At 48.6% G+C, this 19,358-nt stretch overlaps 1 protein-coding gene and 1 long non-coding RNA gene across 11 annotated transcripts in view, besides 4 other annotated features; both read right to left on the reverse strand.

Annotated features, from left to right (window-relative positions):
• Positions 1-19,358, reverse strand: part of ITGB5 (integrin subunit beta 5) — a 139,471-nt gene that overhangs the window by 15,076 nt on the left and 105,037 nt on the right. The gene's annotated exons all lie outside the window — the stretch shown is intronic.
• Positions 83-796: an enhancer, noted in NCBI's record as "H3K27ac-H3K4me1 hESC enhancer chr3:124495953-124496666 (GRCh37/hg19 assembly coordinates)". NCBI's record gives its function as "activates a minimal SCP1, AML or CMV promoter by ChIP-STARR-seq in primed H9 embryonic stem cells {active_cell/tissue: H9 hESC(primed)}" and the evidence as "EXISTENCE:reporter gene assay evidence [ECO:0000049][PMID:30033119]".
• Positions 4,074-4,133: an enhancer, noted in NCBI's record as "active region_20404". NCBI's record gives its function as "activates an Ori minimal core promoter by ATAC-STARR-seq in GM12878 lymphoblastoid cells {active_cell/tissue: GM12878}" and the evidence as "EXISTENCE:reporter gene assay evidence [ECO:0000049][PMID:35858748]".
• Positions 7,971-8,210: an enhancer, noted in NCBI's record as "active region_20405". NCBI's record gives its function as "activates an Ori minimal core promoter by ATAC-STARR-seq in GM12878 lymphoblastoid cells {active_cell/tissue: GM12878}" and the evidence as "EXISTENCE:reporter gene assay evidence [ECO:0000049][PMID:35858748]".
• Positions 14,071-14,603: an enhancer, noted in NCBI's record as "H3K27ac hESC enhancer chr3:124509941-124510473 (GRCh37/hg19 assembly coordinates)". NCBI's record gives its function as "activates a minimal SCP1, AML or CMV promoter by ChIP-STARR-seq in primed H9 embryonic stem cells {active_cell/tissue: H9 hESC(primed)}" and the evidence as "EXISTENCE:reporter gene assay evidence [ECO:0000049][PMID:30033119]".
• Positions 14,093-19,352, reverse strand: LOC124909422 (uncharacterized). Its single transcript, XR_007096043.1, has 2 exons — positions 16,898-19,352; positions 14,093-16,249 (listed from the first exon to the last, which is right to left on the reverse strand). It is a non-coding gene; the product is annotated as an uncharacterized LOC124909422 (long non-coding RNA).

The raw sequence follows: 19,358 nt of genomic DNA on the forward strand, positions 1-19,358 counted from the left end.
TGCTTTAAGTATGTCTGATACCTTGCAGGCCCGAGAGTTCCACAGCCTAGCCCAAGGTCAGGGCGGTTGAGTGTGCCCCTGACCTAGGGTATAAGAAGAGGAGTCAGGAGTCAAGGGTAGGAGAGGGTGAGAGCTGGTGGCTCACCAGAGGTCACCACCGTTCCTTGGAGAGGGACAAGACCCAAGGCCAGAGCTGCTGGCCATTCCTAAAAGCTTCCTACCACCCTTGAGCCCAGCCAGAAGCTGCCAGGAAAGCAGTGGTGTGTGGAGCCCAGCCCGTTTCTGGGGGTGAGCCAGTGGGAGCCACGGAGGGGCTGTGGGACATCAGAAAACCTTCATCTGCATGGCTTTTTGGCCTCCAATATTTGATGACTTCAAAGCAAAGCCCTAGCCAGCCAAACCAGAAAATAAGCCCCAGGCTTCACACTTGATGAAATCACTGAAGCCACCAGAATGCTTGTCCTTTGTGACTCTGATAATAGTCCCAGTTGAGTTTACCTTGGGTAGTTCCCTGCCTTTCAGAGACAGCCTAAAGCAGTGACAGCAGACGCTGCACATCTCCTTCTCCACACTTGTGGCAGGCATCGCTGTCTCCTCATAGGAGTCTTCTCCAAGGGGCCTGGGCTTGCCCTCAGAATCCTCAATGCAGTCCTCCAAGTAGGTTCTACCAAGTGGTGGGAGCTGGCACACAAGTCACAACTACTGGGCCACCTTGGTTGAAACCAAGACTTCCAAGACTCCTTCAGAAAGCGTGACCCACACAGACAGTCAAAAGCTACATAGGCCTGGTCACATTTTATCCCAATCCAAATGTCTCAGCTCCTGCAGTTGAGCCTCAACCTGCCTTTCCCTCAGCCTGCGTGCTCAGAGATTGCCTGCATCTTCTGGTCAGCCCCAGACCCTCCTACTGCCCTAGGAGGAACACATGTCATCAAAAGGACCAGCGTCATTTGGCCCTGTCCCAAGGATCAATAACCTATCAATCACCATCATGGGGATTGGGAACAACATCCTGGCGGACAGTGCTCAGAGGACCTAAGTCAGGACTCTTCATCAAAACAAAGCTAACATCTAATGCTACCTTGGCAAAGTGAGTTGAATTTAATAGTGCCTGCGGAAAAAATATTTTCATTACACATAGATAGGGATACTGAAGGACATGTGAAATCCCTGTGCAAGCTGTGAACTGCTACACATGCAAGTTGTTATTATTAGTACCTTTGTTACAATGATTGATAGCCAAATGGACAGGAAGTTGTAAATGTGTCTATTTATACAGATTTTCAGCTGTATAGAATTCAACAGCTTTCCATCAGCAAAAGTGCTTGTGTGGGCTATGGGCCAAGACACAGCCTCTTGCCTCCTCTTATAAAATTGAATCCTGGCTATTCAGAGGAAGGGGCAGGCTGGGAGGCAGAAGGGGAGCCAGTGGCCCTGTCAGCCCAGGAAGACGTGAGAGGAAGCCCCAGCATCGACGCTCTGTGGAGGTCAAGGCAGGCAAATCCTAAAGCAGCTACCAGGCTGCACCACAAAGCAGTGAGGACAGAATCCAGCCTGCAGGGTGTAAGGAGGTGGTGACAGTGAGCGTAGGGGACTCCCACAGGTAACCTAGTTGTGTGGGGACAGGCGGAGATGGGGGACAAGGAGGATGGGGGATTTTGCAGATGGGATACATTTGAGCATTCTTCAGATTAAAGAGAACCATTCAGAAGAAAGTCGTGCAGGATGGGGAAATGAAGGAATCAAGGGAATGGCAAACTCTGAAGAGATCACAGTAGAGATGGAGTGGGAGGAAGGAGAGGCTGGGCTGAGGGCGAGGGTGTGGCCATGGGGAGATGCTGAAGCCTTAAGTTCCAACAGCAGAGGAGTTCAGGGAAACAGGGTGACCAGCTGTGTGACAAGCTGAGGGTGTGGGCTGGAGCTCAGTTCAGATCCCTGGGTCACCTTGGGCAGGTCCCTAAACTTCTCTGATGATCCGTTTCCTCCTGTGTTGATGAGGATAATGCCTCCCTTGCAGGAATGCTGTCAGAAACATCAGTGCTCTTCCAAGTGATCTCTGACACATGGGGCATCAGGACACGGGAGCTGGCATTGCCGTGGGTGCCACTGGAGTTGACACTCTAGGAACTCGGAGACCCACGTGTAGTACAGCTTGTCCACAGGGAAAGGCAAGGCACCCAGAACAGCAGAACTCGGGGCAGAGGGCGAGAGTGTGAGGCAGGATCAGGTCTTTGGGGAATGTAGGGGGTAACCAGGAGGTATGTGACAGGAAAAGTGGAGGGATGAGACAATCTCAAAAGAGGGAGCAAAGGGGATGGAAGGCAATGAGCCAAAGGCAGTACTGGGGGGCGAGAAACGTGTGACCTGGGTGTGGGAGGCCTCCCACCACCAGCCTCCCCAACCTCCCCCTACCCTGTGGTCTCAGGCACCAACAGACCCAGGAGAAGGAGCAGGTGGGAAGTTGTGCATAAGGCTGAGGATGAAGAGGAGCCTGTTCACCATGAAACATGGGCAGTGGAGAACAGAGCTGGGCTATGAAGAACCACCTGGAAAAGGGGGCAGTGGAGTGCGGTGGTTAACACAGGGATTCTGGAATCAGGCTGCCCGGGCTGGCCTCCTGAATCTGCTATTTACCAGCAGTGGCTGCCGTTTCACCCCTTTGTATATTTAAATGGGGCCAGTAAAAATGCCTTGCGGGTAGGGTTGTTGTGTGAGTTAGCTCGCTTAACCTCTATAAACCACTTAGAATAGTGTTGGCTCATTAAACATCACTGCCTTATCATGGCGGGGTGTGGGGGGAGCTTGGCACAGGTCTTTTTGGAGGATGTTCAGGGGTACCCTTTTTGTCAGCTTAAATCACAGACTTCCACAGTTAAAGGGCCTCATGAGGTGACCGAGGCCATGCCCAGTCGGAAGCAAGAACAGCCAGGACTGACAACACCCAGAGCCTGAGGGAGCTGCTCGGCCAGTCTGAGCCTTGGCGGGGAGGCTCACACCACAGAGGCCCCCTTCTGCCCTGCGTGGGGAGCTCCCTGAGGCATGCCAGAGCAGGGCACAGTGGCCCTCAGCGAGGCCTCTGAGGCAGGGCACGGGGACCCTCAGGGAGGCCTCTGAGGCAGGGCACAGGGACCATGGGGACCCTCAGCAGGGCCTCTGAGGCAGGGCACGGGGACCCTCAACTCTGGCCCAGGAACAAAGCCACTGCTCCATTCACCCCCAAACGCCACTCTGGGTCTGCAGAGGCCCAAGGCAGCCATGGGTGACCGCAGAGGGCTAGCAGGACCGCAGTGGGGCTGCAGGAAGGAAGGAGCCAGCTTGGGATGGGGCAGAAATGAGGAGGGGTTCTCTTCTTCCCATCCTCACCCAGCTCAGTGTTATAACCAGGCAGACGTCAGGCCCTCAGGGTACAAATCATCTCTCCATAGCTGGCTCAAAAATAGTTTCCACTAGCTCTGGAATGCACTGTGGCTTCCTTGGCTTCCCTCAGCACAGCTCCATCCCCTCCGGGAGTCCATTCTGGCTCACAGAAGGCTGAAGAGGGAGGACTGGGCTCAGCGCCTGAGACAGGAGGGCCGTCCCCTTCTCTCTTCTCACGGCCCTGTCCCCCACCCCCATGCCCACGGTCAGTGTCTCCTGCACATACACTCACCTCCTCTCATCGTCTCATCTCAGTTCTGCCTTAGTGTCCCCCCCCCCGTGTTTCCCCACTTTCCTCACATCCCCCAGGGAACCCTCCCCTCTCCCCGGCAGTGTCCCCTCCTCCTCCCTCTTCCCCTCTCCTCCGAAAAGGTGGCCATGTAAACAGGAAGTGGCTCAAAGACATAGAGGGAGTGTGGCTGGAAGCCTTTACACATGGGAGGTAATTTCCCTATCATCACCCAAAGTCAGATTTCATGTGTGTTCTAGCCAGCTCTGTGTGAGACTCTGGGCCCAGTTTCTGGAACTCTCCATCAACTGTCGTAGGCAGAGCAGGAAGCCAAGTCAGCAGCTGTGTGCTTCAGTTCGCTGGTGTCTGTGTGGCTGAGGGCCGTGTGACACTGCCGAGCCAGGGCAGCCTGGGATGAGATTACAAAGTGCGGAATGCGCAGTGGCTGGGGAGAGCTCGGTGACAGACCTGCTTGGCGCTCACATGCTGGGCCAACCACAGTCCTCTCTGGAGCACCAGAGCCAGACCCGGGATGGGCTCACTGTGGCCAAACACATACATAAGCTTCCAAGGACTGCGGCCTCTGTCTGGGGCTTTGAAGATTTCCTGGGGGGAAATCCCTCCTAAGAAGCGCTATTCCTGGCTCTGCTGACAAGCAGGTTGGGATTACGTAACAGACCCCTTGTCCTCCCATGCCCTCGTGTGTCCCCACCTGACCTGTGCTGCCTGGTGTTCTCAGGGTGTCTCCAAGCCTGGTCCCCACAGCAATATGCCCATCCCACTATTTTCCCTCTCCCCTCCATGTGCTGGTGTTGATTGTAGAAAAAGTAAAGAACAGAGATTTCTGAAACGCACAGGACGTGTTCCCAACTTCCTCACAAGGGATCTCAGCTTGGGTCCAGGCACCTCAGTAGCAACTAAATAAATCTCCAAGGGCAAGAGAGAAGTTGCTCTTGAAAAGTTTTGTTCTCACCATGGGTTTCCTGCGCTTGTAAACAGCATTACCATGCCTGGGGGAGTTATGCATTGGAGAACTTGCCAACTAAGGGCTGTTTCTTTCACAAAGAAAGCACAGCTCTCCCTTGCTTAAAACCACCCCTAGAACTCAGCTTTGGTGGAACGTCTCCCCTGCTCTCCTAGGTCCTATCCCTGTCCCTCCACTGTGCAACTCCTCAGACTTGCTGGGGAAGTCCTCTCTGAGCAGTGCTGCCGTGCAACCTCACCCACCTACCTGCTGGCTGTGGGCAGCGGTCCAGGTTCCTCACCAGTAGGAGAGGAATAGTGCCTTGTCTATCTTATAGGACATGGGATATTCTTAGTCAATGTGCAATAGAGAAATGTATGTTGTACTTCAATGTTTACTGCCTTCTGGGAAGTTGTAATTCCACTGAGATAACAAGCCATTAAAATCTCTTAATAATAGTAAAACTTTATGGAATTCTTACAATAGGCGAGGCATGGTTCTAAGCATTTTACATGGATTATCTCATTCATTAGTCCTCCCAATAATAACCCTATGTTGTGGTACAATTATTACTCTAATTTTTACAGATATAGAAATGAGGCACAGAGAAGCCAAGTAACTGATCCAAAACCACACAGCAGGTAGGTGGCAGGGCTGGAATTTCACCCATATCTGTTTGACCAGAAGCCCATACTCCTTACCACTATGGGAAGAGAGCATTTCAAGGAGGGCATGGCCAACGGAGTCCACTACAGCCGAGAAGTCAAGTACGATGAGGGCTGAGAGCCCATAGATTTATCAAGACAAGGTCACTGGGGACATGGGAAGACTATTTTAGTGGAGTCACAGGACTGAATCCAAATTAGACTGAGTTAAGGACTGAGAGGGAGTCAGTGAAGGAAGGCAGCAAGTGTAGACAACTGTTTTAAGGATGTGGTTGTGGGCTGGGCACGGTGGCTCACGGCTGTAATCCCAGCACTTTGGGAGGCCGAGGCGGGAGAATCACCTGAGGTCAGGAATTTGAGACCAGCCTGACCAACATGGTGAAACCCTGTCTCCACTAAAAATACAAAAATTAGCTGGGTGTGGTGGCACACGCTTGTAATCCCAGCTACTCAGAAGGCTGAGGCAGAAAAATTGCTTGAACCCAGGAGGTGGAGGAGGTTGCAGTGAGCTGAGATTGTGCCATTGCACTCTAGCTTGGGCGACAAGAGTGAAACTCCGTCTCAAAAAAAAGAAAAAAAAAATGTGGTTGTGAATATGGAGGAAAGGGGAGCTTGCAGTGAGTGTGGTGCAGACTGATGACAGGGTTTTTATTTTCTATTATTTTCCCTTTCTTTCTTTTTTTTCTTTTTTAATATTTTAAGATTAAACAGGCCGGGCATGGTGGCTCACGCCTGTAATCCCAACACTCTGGGAGGCTGAGGTGGGTGGATCACTTGAGGTCAGGAGTTCGAGACAAACCTGGGCAACATGATAAAACCCCATCTCTACTAAAAATACAAAAATTAGCCGGGCGTGGTGGCAGGCGCCTGTAATTCCAGCTACTCCAGAGGCTGAGACATGATAATTGCTTGAACCAGGCAGGCGGAGGTTGCAATGGGCCAAGATTGCACCACTGCACTCCACCCTGGGCAACAGAGCGAGACTCCGTCTCAAAAAAAAAAAAAAAAAAAAAAAGAGAGAGAGAGAGATTAAACAGACCTGAGCATGTTCAAAAGCTGACCAGAAGACTTAGTTAAGAGACGTAGGTATAGAATCACTTGGCACACTGATGGACTTGTTTGTTTGCTGGTCTGCCTCATCTCATTAGCCTACAAACCCACACGCAATCAAAGCCTCTGTTTTATGTTTCTGTGCCCCACACCTAGCATGGTGTCAGGCGTGTAGAAGATGCTCAGAACATGCTGTCCTTTGGTTGTGGTTGACAATATCACCAGGACAAACCTCAAACCCTGGGGGAAGACATCCAATGCTGGACATAAGAAAAGGAACAGAAGTATTATTGATACCTGAAGAACTTAAATGTGATTCTTGAGATATTTCAGATTCTTAACAAATGTCCAAGAAACCCAGAGACTTCAGAGTAACATGAGAAAAAGACAATTAAGAATTCTCTTTTCTCTGGAAGAACATGGTTGTGGTCACACTGAAATCGCAGCCTTGCATCTCCCACTTTTCTTGCACATTGTTTGGGTTTCTCCAGCAAAAAGCTCTTTAGAGATACAAACAATGACACATCTTTAGTCTCAGGGACAGCTGCTCCTCTGTCCGCGGCATATTGTTAACAAACCAGCCCCATCAGTCAGCTGATGGTGTTTCCCAACAGGCAATGCCCTGACAAGCCCCTCACCCTTTGTCCTTCATCGGCTGGACTACATGGGGCATTCTGTATCTGAGTAGCAAAATACCACTGCTATAAAAAAAAATAAGGTGATATTGCTTTAAGCCAAGGTTCTCCAAACCTCAGCATTAACTTTCTGAGATGATGGTACTGGCTAGAAATCTAAGACTCCATTGTAAAAAGCAACAGAACCGTCTCAAAGGCTATCTTTGCCTTTCTGGTCTTAGCCACCTGATTTCTCAATGCTGATGCCAGCTGGGTGCAGTGGCTTATGCCTGTAATCCCAGCAGTTTGGGAGGCTGAGGTGGGAGGATCCCTTGAGTTGTAGACCAGCCTGGGCAAAACAGTGAGACCCCATCTCTACGAAAAAATTAAAAATTAGCCAGGCATGGTGGCACATGCCTGTAGTCCCAGCTACTTGGAAGGCTGAGGTGGGAGGATAGCTTGAGCCCAGGAGTTCAAGCCTGCAATGAGCTGTGATTCACACGCCAGTCTAGGAGAGACAGTGAGACCCTATCTCAAACAACAACAACAACAAACAAAATCAATGCCGATGCCCAGCTGCCATGTCACAGGGAGATTAAGGCAGTGGAGGGAAGATGGACAAATCCTGTGTTCTTTAATGAATTCACCTTTCCAGTTTCAAAGAAGTCTAAAACCAGCTGAGTGAAATCAACCATAGTCCTCTTCTAGGACCCTGAGAATGCTGATTCAGAAAGAAAAACAGAAGGCTGTAGCCAAAAGAAACAGAGGTACTTCAGGTCAACACCTTAGGTTTGGCTTAACCTGCCCAATCCGCCTGGCAGGCACTTCTGGGGAAATGCCAATCACATCTGGAAAGTGTGAACTCGCCACCCTCTTGGTCACCGCAACAGGATGCGAGGGTTACTATTTTCAAACTGGAAACTGTCATGGTGTTGTGGTTGGTTAACAGTTCCCATATTCCACCCCAGGCTGGCCACTGTTCAGAGACTAGCTGCCTTCTCAAAGGACGGAGGTGGTTTGGAATGTCCCATGTGTAGGCCACACTGAAGCCTGGCTGCCGGGACCCCAGTCAAGCCATGAGGCGGCAGGGAAGCAGCTGCTCAGCAGAAGAGCAGCCCCCTAGGGTTAGGGGAGGTAGACGTTGTTTGGGTCAAGACTTTTGGCCCAAAATTTCAGTGGGGAGTGTGGCCTACATGCCAGTCTTCTCAGCCGTAGCCTCCCACAAGGGCAGGGTGAGTGACAGCACACCAATCTCCTGGCACAGTAATAACAAGTAAATGAGATCATTCACGTCAAGGGCGTTTTATAAATTAGAAGAGACTAACAAAGGTGCACTTGTGTCCGGGCGCGGTGGCTCACGCCTATAATCCCAGCACTTTGGGAGGCCAAGGTGGGCAGATCACGAGGTCAGGAGTTCGAGACCAGTCTGGCCAACATAGTGAAACTCTGTCTCTACTAAAAATACACAAAAAATTAGCCAGGTGTGGTGGCAGGCGCCTGTAATCCCAGCTACTCAGGTGGCTGATGCAGGAGAATTGCGTGAACCCGGGAGGCAGAGGTTGCAGTGAGCCAAGATCGTGCCACTGCACTCCAGCCTGGGGAACAGAACGAGACTCCATCTCAAAAAAAAAAAAAAAACCCCAAAAAAACAAAGGTGCACTTGTAGGTTCAGCATCACCAATAACAACAGCCAGATACCCACTGAATACTAAGAAGAGCTCTATGTCTTTCATCAAATTATAGTCACGAAACGATGAGTACCTCAGGCAGTTGCTTGGTCCATGTGTATCCTCCAGGCCTGGTTCACTGTGTCTGACATATCCTTATGTAACCTAGAGAAACTCACTTAGGAAAACGGGCTAAATATTTCCTAAAATTTTGACAGAGATAAAGAACGCTTATAAGGTAGGACTTGGAAAATGTAGGCTAAGTGCCAGGGTGGTGGGAAGGGTCTTAAGTTAACCAAAAAAAGTAAATTTAGGTAGAAATGAGCTAATTGTTTACCTGCAAAAGGCAGTGCAAGGTTCTCCCTGTCTGACTCTATAATCAAAAATCACAAGGAGCCCTAGTTCAGATTCTGGGCTTCAATTTTCCCCAATGTAAATAGTCGAAGCAGGCAATGCACTGTAGACACACCGTGTGTGACAGGCTCTGCTAGGAAAGGCATGAGATGCAAAAAAATCCTCCCAGTTAGGGCTTGCTCATGATGAGTGCAAAACACTAACAAACGAGCCTGTTTGTTTCCAAGGAAATGATCTCAATATAGTGAAAAGGCCATTAAAACAGATTCTCAGCTGGGTGCAGTGGCTCACATCTGTAATCCCAACACTTTGGAAGGCTGAGAAGGGAGGATTGCTTGAGCCCAGGAGTTTGAGGCTGCAGTAGGCTACTGAGTGTACCACTGCACTCCAGCCTAGTCAACAGGGCAAGACCCTGTCTCTTAAAAAAAAAAAAAAGATTCTCCTTGTGTTACTATAGTTTTGCCTGTTGCTAAAGGCCAACTTCATGACGTCAAATAACATACCAACCTGGGTTGCATATTTCTTTAGCTTAGGGACATCTGGACTCACCTGATAGACTTTGGGAGTGGTGGCTATGGGGTGGAGTGACAGCAGGTTCCCTCCTCTGGGTCAGAGAACAACAGTCAGAGCCCAGGAGGGAGCCCTGGAAAGAGGAAGGAAACCTTTGAGCAGATCAGACTTGGAGCAACTTCCAGACTCAAGGGAGCTTTTGGATCTGGGTGGAGCTCTTAGGTCAGTGTTCTGAGCATGACAGACACTCACCCCAAAGATCAACATAGCTCCATCCAGACCTGCCCCACCTCACCAGAGGCACTGAGCAGCAGAAGCCTGTAAATAACCAACTATGTTGAAGTATCTAAAACCAAGACCAAACTCAAAGTGTCAGCTCAACCCCTAAGAAATGGAACAAAAGAATCCTTAAGAATAACCATTTCAGCCACCAGAGGTCTCTCACAGTTTTAAATTTAAACATGGAAAAGTTTCCAGCATGTTATCCTATAATATCAAAAGGCTAATACCACGCACACCTCAAGCCTACATGACTAAGATCTTATCTTTGGCATTCTTAGGTCTTCCTAGTACTTTCCTTTGCTTTTTAAATGTCATTATTTCCTTCACAAGCCAAACCTCGTGACCTTAAGCACCAGGCCTGAAGTTCAAAGGCACACACAGAATCCTCGCCACGGGGTTCTGTTGGCAAACTTCTCTTCCTAAGTAGAGGGAGTGGGACGGTGAGGGGAGGCCCAACGCTTAGATTTTCAGAATCACAGGTGAATTGTTGCTTAAGATGTTTCTGGACACAGGATCTGAGCGGTAAGCAAAAGCAGTGAAAAAGCTCCATTTACTGAGCTAAGCTCAGAGCACCGAGAAGGCAGGTTCTCAAAATGCTTCCCAACACTCTGTTTTTTGTCTTTCAAGATCTCAAAGAAGTCTTAATGGTAAAGGTAGAAGCATAAGATGATTCATGTTCCCATTCCTTATTTCCAGAAAGTTTCAAGAAAGAAGTGGAAAATTCCAGGGGCAATAAAAATTTAGAAATTAATTCAAGACTGAAACTCCAGCTGTATATCCCTGGCAGCCAGTACAACACTTGGCTTATGAAGAACGCTCAATGAACTTTTGTTGAATGAGATGAATGCAGCAACCTGCCTAACACAAAATGACCTTCAATGAGAGATTGTTGTTTCTATATTTGTAGCTGCATTGTCTCAGATCAGATACTTACTAAGCTCTGGTTTTTCCAAAGCTCTGGTTTCTCCAACCACAAGCTGCAAGAGGCTGGCTGACTCCAGAGATGAGCAGCCCAGCTGGCTCATGTGACTAGTTTAAAAGATGTATTATTTCATTATAGGATCACAAGCCCTACAATTTGGTACCTTTTTGCTTTTCAAGTGAACTTGAGTAGTGGCTAGAAACAGATAGCTCTTTTTTTTTTTTTTTTGAGATAGGGTCTTGCTCTGTTGCCCAGGCTGGAGTGCAGTGGCATGATCTCTGCTCACTGCAACCTCCACCTTCTGGGCTCCAGTGGTCCTCCTACCTCAGCCTCCCAAGTAGCTGGGACCACAGGCACACGCCACCATGCCTGGATAATTTTTTGTAGAGACGGGGCCTTGCTATGTTACCCAGGCTGGTTTTGAACTCCTGAGCTCAAGCAATCCACCCACCACCTTGGCCTCCCAAAGTGCTAGGGTTACAGGTGTGAGCCACTGCACCCAGCCCCGGGGGAGAAAAATATACTCAGTGCCCCTGGTGGTAGGGCCCCTGCAAGGAGCTTTATAGACACTGTCCTGTTGGTTCCTCACAACTCCCTTCTGGGGTAGGAAATTCCAGAGCCATTTCCTTTCCATTATATAAGGAGGCCTCTAAAGGCTTTTGCAGTATTCCTGGCAGGGGACAAGGAGAAACATCTCTGTGCTGGTTACTGCCATGGTTTCTGGCAGCTCTGCCTGTGTTATCATTGCCTAAGGAACATGCATTGTCCTTAGCCACCCTGTACGTGGTAGCCTGCAGAAGTATTACTACCACTCACAGGTGTCTCATTCCTTATGATGAGTTACTGAAGAATCCTGTAACAAATTCTGTTCTCAGAGCCACCTGTTCCAAAATGGAACCGGACTCTCCTGGCCCTCACTGTCATGTACATATTTAGGATTTCTATGATACCAGGTAAGGGAAATTGCTACACTGGTTTCTGAAGCTCTGCCTGGGGGCTTCCTTTGGGAGAGAGGGGTCCTTCCTGTGGAAGATATATTTTGCATCCTTGTATTTGCTAGAAGCATCTGGGTGAACATCAAACTGAGCAGAGATTAATGTATGTGAAAAAACCCGAAGAATTTCTAGGTGCTCCTACCAGAAGCACACAGTGGTGGTGATCCTGCCAAGAGGTCCCTTTCCTGGAGATTAAATATGTCCAGCCTAGGTTCATTCAAAAGGTACTTTTAGCTCAGACCTGTAATCCTAGCACTTTGGGATGCTGAGGTGGGAGGATCCCTTGAGCCCAGGAGTTCAAGACCAGCCTGGGAAACATAGGGAGACCCTGTCTCTATTGTAAAACAAACAAAAGGTACTTTTGGAGACCTCTGTCATGGAAGTCACCTTCAAGACAGTACTGTAACAAGCCATTTGTGAAATATGCCAATTGCAATGACAGAGATACAGCAGCAACCTGAGCCCCAAGGACGGCTGCCAGGCTACTGATTCTGAGTGTGAAAATTACATTACTAAAGAAAACAATATAAATATGGTGAGAAACACTTTTAAAACTGTATCTGGATAACTGTTGCCATGGCAGGTGTTTTGTTTGACAAGAGTCAAGAAGCCTAGGATGTGGCCTTAATCTCAGGAGTGGCTTTAACTAGACAGGGTTATCAGAACTGCCTTTAACTAGACAGGGTTAACAGAACCGCCTCTGACTAGACAGGGTTATCAGAACCGCCTCTGACTAGACAGGGTTATCAGAACCGCCTCTGACTAGACAGGGTTATCAGAACCGCCTCTGACTAGACAGGGTTATCAGAACCGCCTCTGACTAGACAGGGTTATCAGAACCGCCTCTGACTAGACAGGGTTATCAGAACCGCCTCTGACTAGACAGGGTTATCAGAACCGCCTCTGACTAGACAGGGTTATCAGAACCGCCTCTGACTAGACAGGGTTATCAGAACCGCCTCTGACTAGACAGGGTTATCAGAACCGCCTCTGACTAGACAGGGTTATCAGAACCGCCTCTGACTAGACAGGGTTATCAGAACCGCCTCTGACTAGACAGGGTTATCAGAACCGCCTCTGACTAGACAGGGTTATCAGAACCGCCTCTGACTAGACAGGGTTATCAGAACCGCCTCTGACTAGACAGGGTTATCAGAACCGCCTCTGACTAGACAGGGTTATCAGAACCGCCTCTGACTAGACAGGGTTATCAGAACCGCCTCTGACTAGACAGGGTTATCAGAACCGCCTCTGACTAGACAGGGTTATCAGAACCGCCTCTGACTAGACAGGGTTATCAGAACCGCCTCTGACTAGACAGGGTTATCAGAACCGCCTCTGACTAGACAGGGTTATCAGAACCGCCTCTGACTAGACAGGGTTAACAGAACCGCCTCTGACTAGACAGGGTTATCAGAACCGCCTCTGACTAGACAGGGTTATCAGAACCGCCTCTGACTAGACAGGGTTATCAGAACCGCCTCTGACTAGACAGGGTTATCAGAACCGCCTCTGACTAGACAGGGTTATCAGAACCGCCTCTGACTAGACAGGGTTAACAGAACCGCCTCTGACTAGACAGGGTTATCAGAACCGCCTCTGACTAGACAGGGTTATCAGAACCGCCTCTGACTAGACAGGGTTATCAGAACCGCCTCTGACTAGACAGGGTTATCAGAACCGCCTCTGACTAGACAGGGTTATCAGAACCGCCTTTGACTAGACAGGGTTATCAGAACCGCCTTTGACTAGACAGGGTTATCAGAACCGCCTTTGACTAGACAGGGTTATCAGAACCGCCTTTGACTAGACAGGGTTATCAGAACCGCCTTTGACTAGACATGGTTAACAGAACTGCCTTTGACTAGACAGGGTTAACAGAATTGCCTTTAACTAGACAGGGTTATCAGAACTTTGCTAAATCGGCCGGGAACTGTTAGCCCAGACCCAGAACCCATGCTTGGATGCTGGCCCTGGCCTGCTAGGAATGATGCTACTAGTACCATGCTTCTTCTTGTTCTTTTTTTTTTTGTTTGGGAGAGAACGGAGGATGCCCCTTGACTTCTAATTGCCTGCCACATAGTAATAAAAGATTCTTGCTCAAACTTTGGGTAAAATAAAGGTGAGACGTATACATGAGACCTTACTCAGAGGTGCTTTTGAGATCTTACAGCCACGAGACCAAAAGGGCTGTGTTCAAAATTCTATATCCTATTTGATTTAAATTTCCTCATTATGTGGAATCCAAGAATGAGGCTGACCATTAGCAAAGGATTCAATGTACTCCAGTGCAGTCATTTTAAGTGTAGAGAAGGTTGAAAGCATCTGGGTTGAAACTGACCTCAGCAATGTACCACAAGGGAGTAGCTCAAATCCCAGAAAATGCACCGTTTGGACACAGAAACTAACAAAGAAACTCAAAGTTTGAGCAAGAATCTTTTATTACATGAAAAACAACTGAACAGAACATGTCCTGCTTCTCATATTCTATGGGTCAATACTTTACAAGACTCAAAAGAAAAGAAATCCTCATGATGGCCCCAGGAAGCTCCCCTCGCACACACAGAAACAGTCTGTGGACAGAACCATTCTCTAAGTCAAGCTGCCTCTAGAAACCGCAGAGAGACACAAGAGCCCCAAGCTCACACACATTCCCATGACAATGTGTCACAAAAGTAATAACAGAGTTGTTCAATTGCTTCCAGACCTTAGTCGGATTTGTTCACTGCTCATTTTGATGATGGATAACATATTGCAAACCTGTAATGTCTTGCGCTTTGCCCCTAGCCCTGTCTTGGCAGGGACAAGGACTGTAAGCCTCCTACTGATAGAGAGTCCAGTGAAGTGGAAGGAGTTTCTCTGGGGTGACCCTACCTATTCTGGCCCTGGCTCTGCCTCAGCCACTTCTTCAAGTGCACCCCTCAACCCCACTCTGAAGACAGACCACAACCACACGATTTCCTTCCAAGACAGGCTGCAGGGAAGAGGGGGTGTAAAGCTGTGAGAGAATGCTGAAGTCAGCTGCTTGGGAGTCTCTGAGTCAGCACCTTCAAGAGCAGAGTGGTGGCTGGGAACCAGGCTTCTCTGCCACAACAACTCCAGATGTAGCCGTGACCCAAGAGCTCAAAACCACCGCACGCAATTCTGGAGTGGGAGCCCCATGCTGACCACAGGTGCCAAGGACCCAGGGACTGGAATTCCTTACCCATCCATTCACAGCCCCTCCTGAGCTGTAAGGTTTGAGAGACAAGGAAGGGCTGGTGCTATAACGCTGTGAAAGAAGCCACTGCATGAACATGTTATCAAGTCCTGCCTGGAGCTGGACTCAGTTTAAGTCCTTCCCAAATTGTCAAACAACAATGATCTCACTCCAGAAACTATTTTCTCCGGAAAGACTTGGATAGCGTCACGTTTCAACTAGTTGTTGCTTTTAAAGTGAAGAGGTGGAGAAGGCTAGTTGGGAGTGCAATGGAAAGACACTCAAAATGTTCTCATCAATGATTTACTAAAGTCATTCGACTTCAAGTGCTCCTTAGGATATAATATTATAGGAAAAAAAGCATCATACAAAATTGTATGCAGCTATAAACACACATACACTAACTTAGAGGAAGGTTTAGAAGGAAATAAACTAATCTCTTAAAATAAGAGTGATGAAATTATGGATGATTTTTAAATTTCTTACTACTGCTCAGAATATTCTCGACCTAAGGCTAATCCCCCAACTCTCTGGCAAGGTCTTGACTGAGCACACAGCCTCAGAAGTGATGCACACGAAACAGCCTGGGTGAAAAGAGGTCTGGTTTCCCAGATGGTCCAAATTACTCCTGGTCACCAAGAAGACAGACAGCACCAACTGGCCACACATCCATCAACTTCCCTGTATTTTTCAAGTTTTCTTTAATGGTTGTCTATGGCTTTTCCAGTGGGGAAGAAAAAAGACATTCATTCTGCAACCTCAGGGAAGTTAGTGACTTTAGGCATCGTTGATCTAGGAGCCTCAAGGGCTTGGCAAACCTCCGGTTTCTCTACCCCATGACATGAGCATTTCCCGATCCCGCAGGATTGTATGGGGTGAAGGGAAGAGAAAGAGATAGAGCACCAGGGGTTTTTGGATATGAAGTCTGGCAGAATTCTGTAATGCAGGATTAACTTAGGATTGTGGGTTCTGATGATTAAGCAAAAAAAAAGCTGCATTTTCACGCAGCTATGGAATATTCCTGTTTCCAAAATGACCAGTATTCCCCACTGAGGGCCTCTCATACCCCATCTCCCACTTGCCCTGTCTCCCAGGCTCTGTACTCAGAGAAATGCCCAGTCTCAGCAAGACAGAGGAGGCATCTAACATCCACTGGGTCCTGTTCCCTACCGAGTACCAGGCCAGGGCCTTCATCTCTGTCTTCTCCTTCAATTCTCAAAATAATGCAGAAACAAATGGTGTTGGCCCATCTTAGGAGACAGGAAAAGCCAAAGTCCAAGACAACCAAGGTCACAGCCTGATGAACTGTGGAGATGAAACGTGCACACAGCATCTGACTCAAACGCCCTTGCTCCCAGGCTGCATGGACACACGCAGGCTTCTAGGGTGAAGACATACCAGAGGGTTATTTCAGGATCCTGAAGGGGAAGGAGGGATGGTTCTGTCACGTTTGCTAATATCTCTTTAAAAGAAAAACTGCTAAAAAGCCTGCCAGGCTGCTTAGAGCTTTTATTATGGCTACTAAGAGGAATGGAAACTCCATTCCACCACCCTGGAATTTTTTAGGCAAAGCCTGGGGACTGTCTGGGGGAAGGCGGGGCCCTCCTGCACATGGGGAACCAGGTGTGGCCCCCCCAGAGGGGTGTGGCACTGACTCATAGAGGAGCCAGCATTGGGTGTGTTTTCCTTTTGTGCCAGGCAAAATACTGGGTGCTTCACACACATCTCTTATTCCTCATAACAACTCTATGCCCAAGTCACACTAGCAGATATGGTATGATGGGACTTAGGCCCAGGCCTCCTGCTATGGAGCCCAAACTTTTTCTACTAACCAGACAGAACCATCTAGCTAACACCAACCTATCATCACTCTGCTGAGGAAAGCGTTGATCCCTGTTGCATGCTTGGCATGTTGAATCCTGATTTTTCCACCTACTTTACTCTGCAATGACACTGCTAAGTCCTGCACTCTCCAGGGCAACTCCAGTTTTAGACATGCTGGTCCCACGACGCCCATGGGTGTACTCACGCTTGTGTCACGGCAAGGTCCGCTCCAGGAAGCTTCCCTTGTTAACCCACGTCTGTGCAACCCTGTGTGGCAGTACAATTCCTCCTCCCATAGGACGGAGTATCTGCACGTTCCTGGTTTGCTTCAGATGCACCTTGTGCTTTCTTTCCCAGCTGATCCCTTAGTTCCTTTCAAATCCACCCATCCCAATTGGAAGACCATTCTTAAGGAGGGAGCCCTGGAAACCACAGAATACATGATGTGTAGAAGAAACCACAGCCCTGCCTAAAACTGTTTTACTTACTACCTTTACAGGTGGCATGGTGTTAGATAAACTTTGAGATACAATTTTGAAGCATTTAATCAGAACGCAATACCAGAGTGGGAACTGCCAACTTGTCATTTAACTGGAATCAGTGTAAACTCCTGTGTTTAGATTCAGAAAATTAAGGGCTCCAACACAACACACTAAAAAAGTACCTCTCCTTCTGAACCACAGTTCTAAAAAATAAAATAAATTAAAAGCCTCAAACTTTTGGTAGTGAAGTTAAAAACCAGCTCAAGAGTATACTGTGACTGTTTAACAGAACGAAAAGGTGGGCTGGGCGCAGTGGCTCACACCTGTAATCCCAGCACATTGGGAGGCTGAGGTGGGTGGATCACCTGAGGTCAGGACTTCGAGACCAGCCTGGCCAACATGGGGAAACCCCATATCTATTTAAAAAAAAAAAAATTTGCCAGGCGTGGTGGTGGGTGCTTGTAATCCCAGCCAGTCAGGAGGCTGAGACAGGAGAATCACTTGAACCCAGGAGGCACAGGTTGCAGTGAGCTGAGATTGTGCCACTGCACTCCAGCCTAGGCAACAGAGCGAGACTTCATCTCAAAAAAAAAAAGAAACAAGAAAGAAAGAGAGAGAGAGAGGAAGGGAGAAGGGAGGAGAAGGAGGAGGAGAAGGAGAAGAAGAAGAAGAAAATAAAAAAAGGTGAATGTATTGTCAGGGTGCATCCATGTAAGCAGAATGTCCAAATCACAGGAAACGCATGCTTCACTGAACCCTGGACCAAGCCCTCATCATCCAGCATGACAAGTAACGCACTTGATTATGTGAAGCATGCTTCACAAATGATAGCACCCTCGGACAAGGAAGAGACTTGGGGTGTCTAGCCTAGATCAGAAGAGAGAACAGAGAAACATAAAGCAGCTTTTAGATGTTTGACAGGTTGTCACGTGGAAGGGGGACTCTAGAATGTTAACCATTGGGAGGAAGTTATTGAGAAACAAGTTTCTCTTCAGTATAAAGAGGAATTCTGGGCCGGGCACAGTGGCTCACGTCTATAATCCCAGTACTTTGGGAGGCTGTGGATGGATCACTTGAGATCACGAGTTCAAGACCAGCCTGGCCAACATGGTGAAACCCCGTCTCTACTAAAAATACAAAAATTAGCCGAGTGTGGTGGCGGGCGCCTATAATCCCAGCTACTCGGGAGTCTGAGGCAGGAGAATTGCTTGAACCTGGGAGGCAGAGGTTGCAGTGAGTCGAGATCCTGCCATTGCACTCCAGCCTGGGCAACAGAGTGAGACTCCATCTCAGAAAAAAAAAAAAGAGGAATTCTGGCAGGAAAAATAAGAGCCCCCAGAGATGTCCACATCCTAATCCCTGGAACCTGTGACTGTGTGGCCTTACGTGGTGAAAGGGACTGTGCAGATGTGAGTAAGCTGAGGACCTGGGGATGGGGAGACTTTCCAGGGTTCGACTGAGGGTCCCTTGTAACCACAAGGGTCTGTAGGAGAGGGAGAAGGATTTGACAACAGAAGCAGAGGTCAGAGTCAGAGAGATCTGAGGATGTTACTCTGCTGGTTTTGAAAATGGAAGAAGGAGCTGCAAGCCAAAGAATACAGGTGGCCTCTAGGAACTGGAAAAGGCCGGGACACAGATTCTCCCCTGGAGCTTCTAGGAGGTATGCAGCCCTGCTGGCACCTTGATTCTAGCCAAATAAGATCCATTTCAGACTTCTGGCCTCCAGAACTGTAATGGATTAAATGTGTATTATTTTAAGCCAACAGGTTTGTGGTGAGTTATGGGAGCAGCAATAAGATATGAGTTCATTGGCTAAGGGACAGATGGCCACTGCCAGCCCCAGTGAGTTCCCCGTCCCAGGAGGCAATCAAGAAGAGGCTGAACATCTCTACCTGTCAGGAATGCTGTGCAGGCCAGTCCTGCATGAATTGGGAAGTAAGGTGGATGACCCACGCAGGCCCCTCGAATTCTGAGAGTCCACAATTTATGGCAATACCTTCTGCTTTCGTATTCTGCACACAGATCCCCACCTCCTGCCTACGGGTAGCAAGGCTTGCCCACTGTCTTCTCCAAGGAGAGCCATGGTAGTGACACTTTCTACCACCACTGAGTAAAAGGCAGGCTTTGGGAGGGTGTCCTAACGGCATCTTGGCCTGGCTCAGAGCTAAAGTGCTTGCTGGGGAC

Source organism: Homo sapiens, chromosome 3 (genome assembly GCF_000001405.40).
Source record: "Homo sapiens chromosome 3, GRCh38.p14 Primary Assembly".
Taxonomy (NCBI): Eukaryota; Metazoa; Chordata; class Mammalia; order Primates; family Hominidae; genus Homo; species Homo sapiens.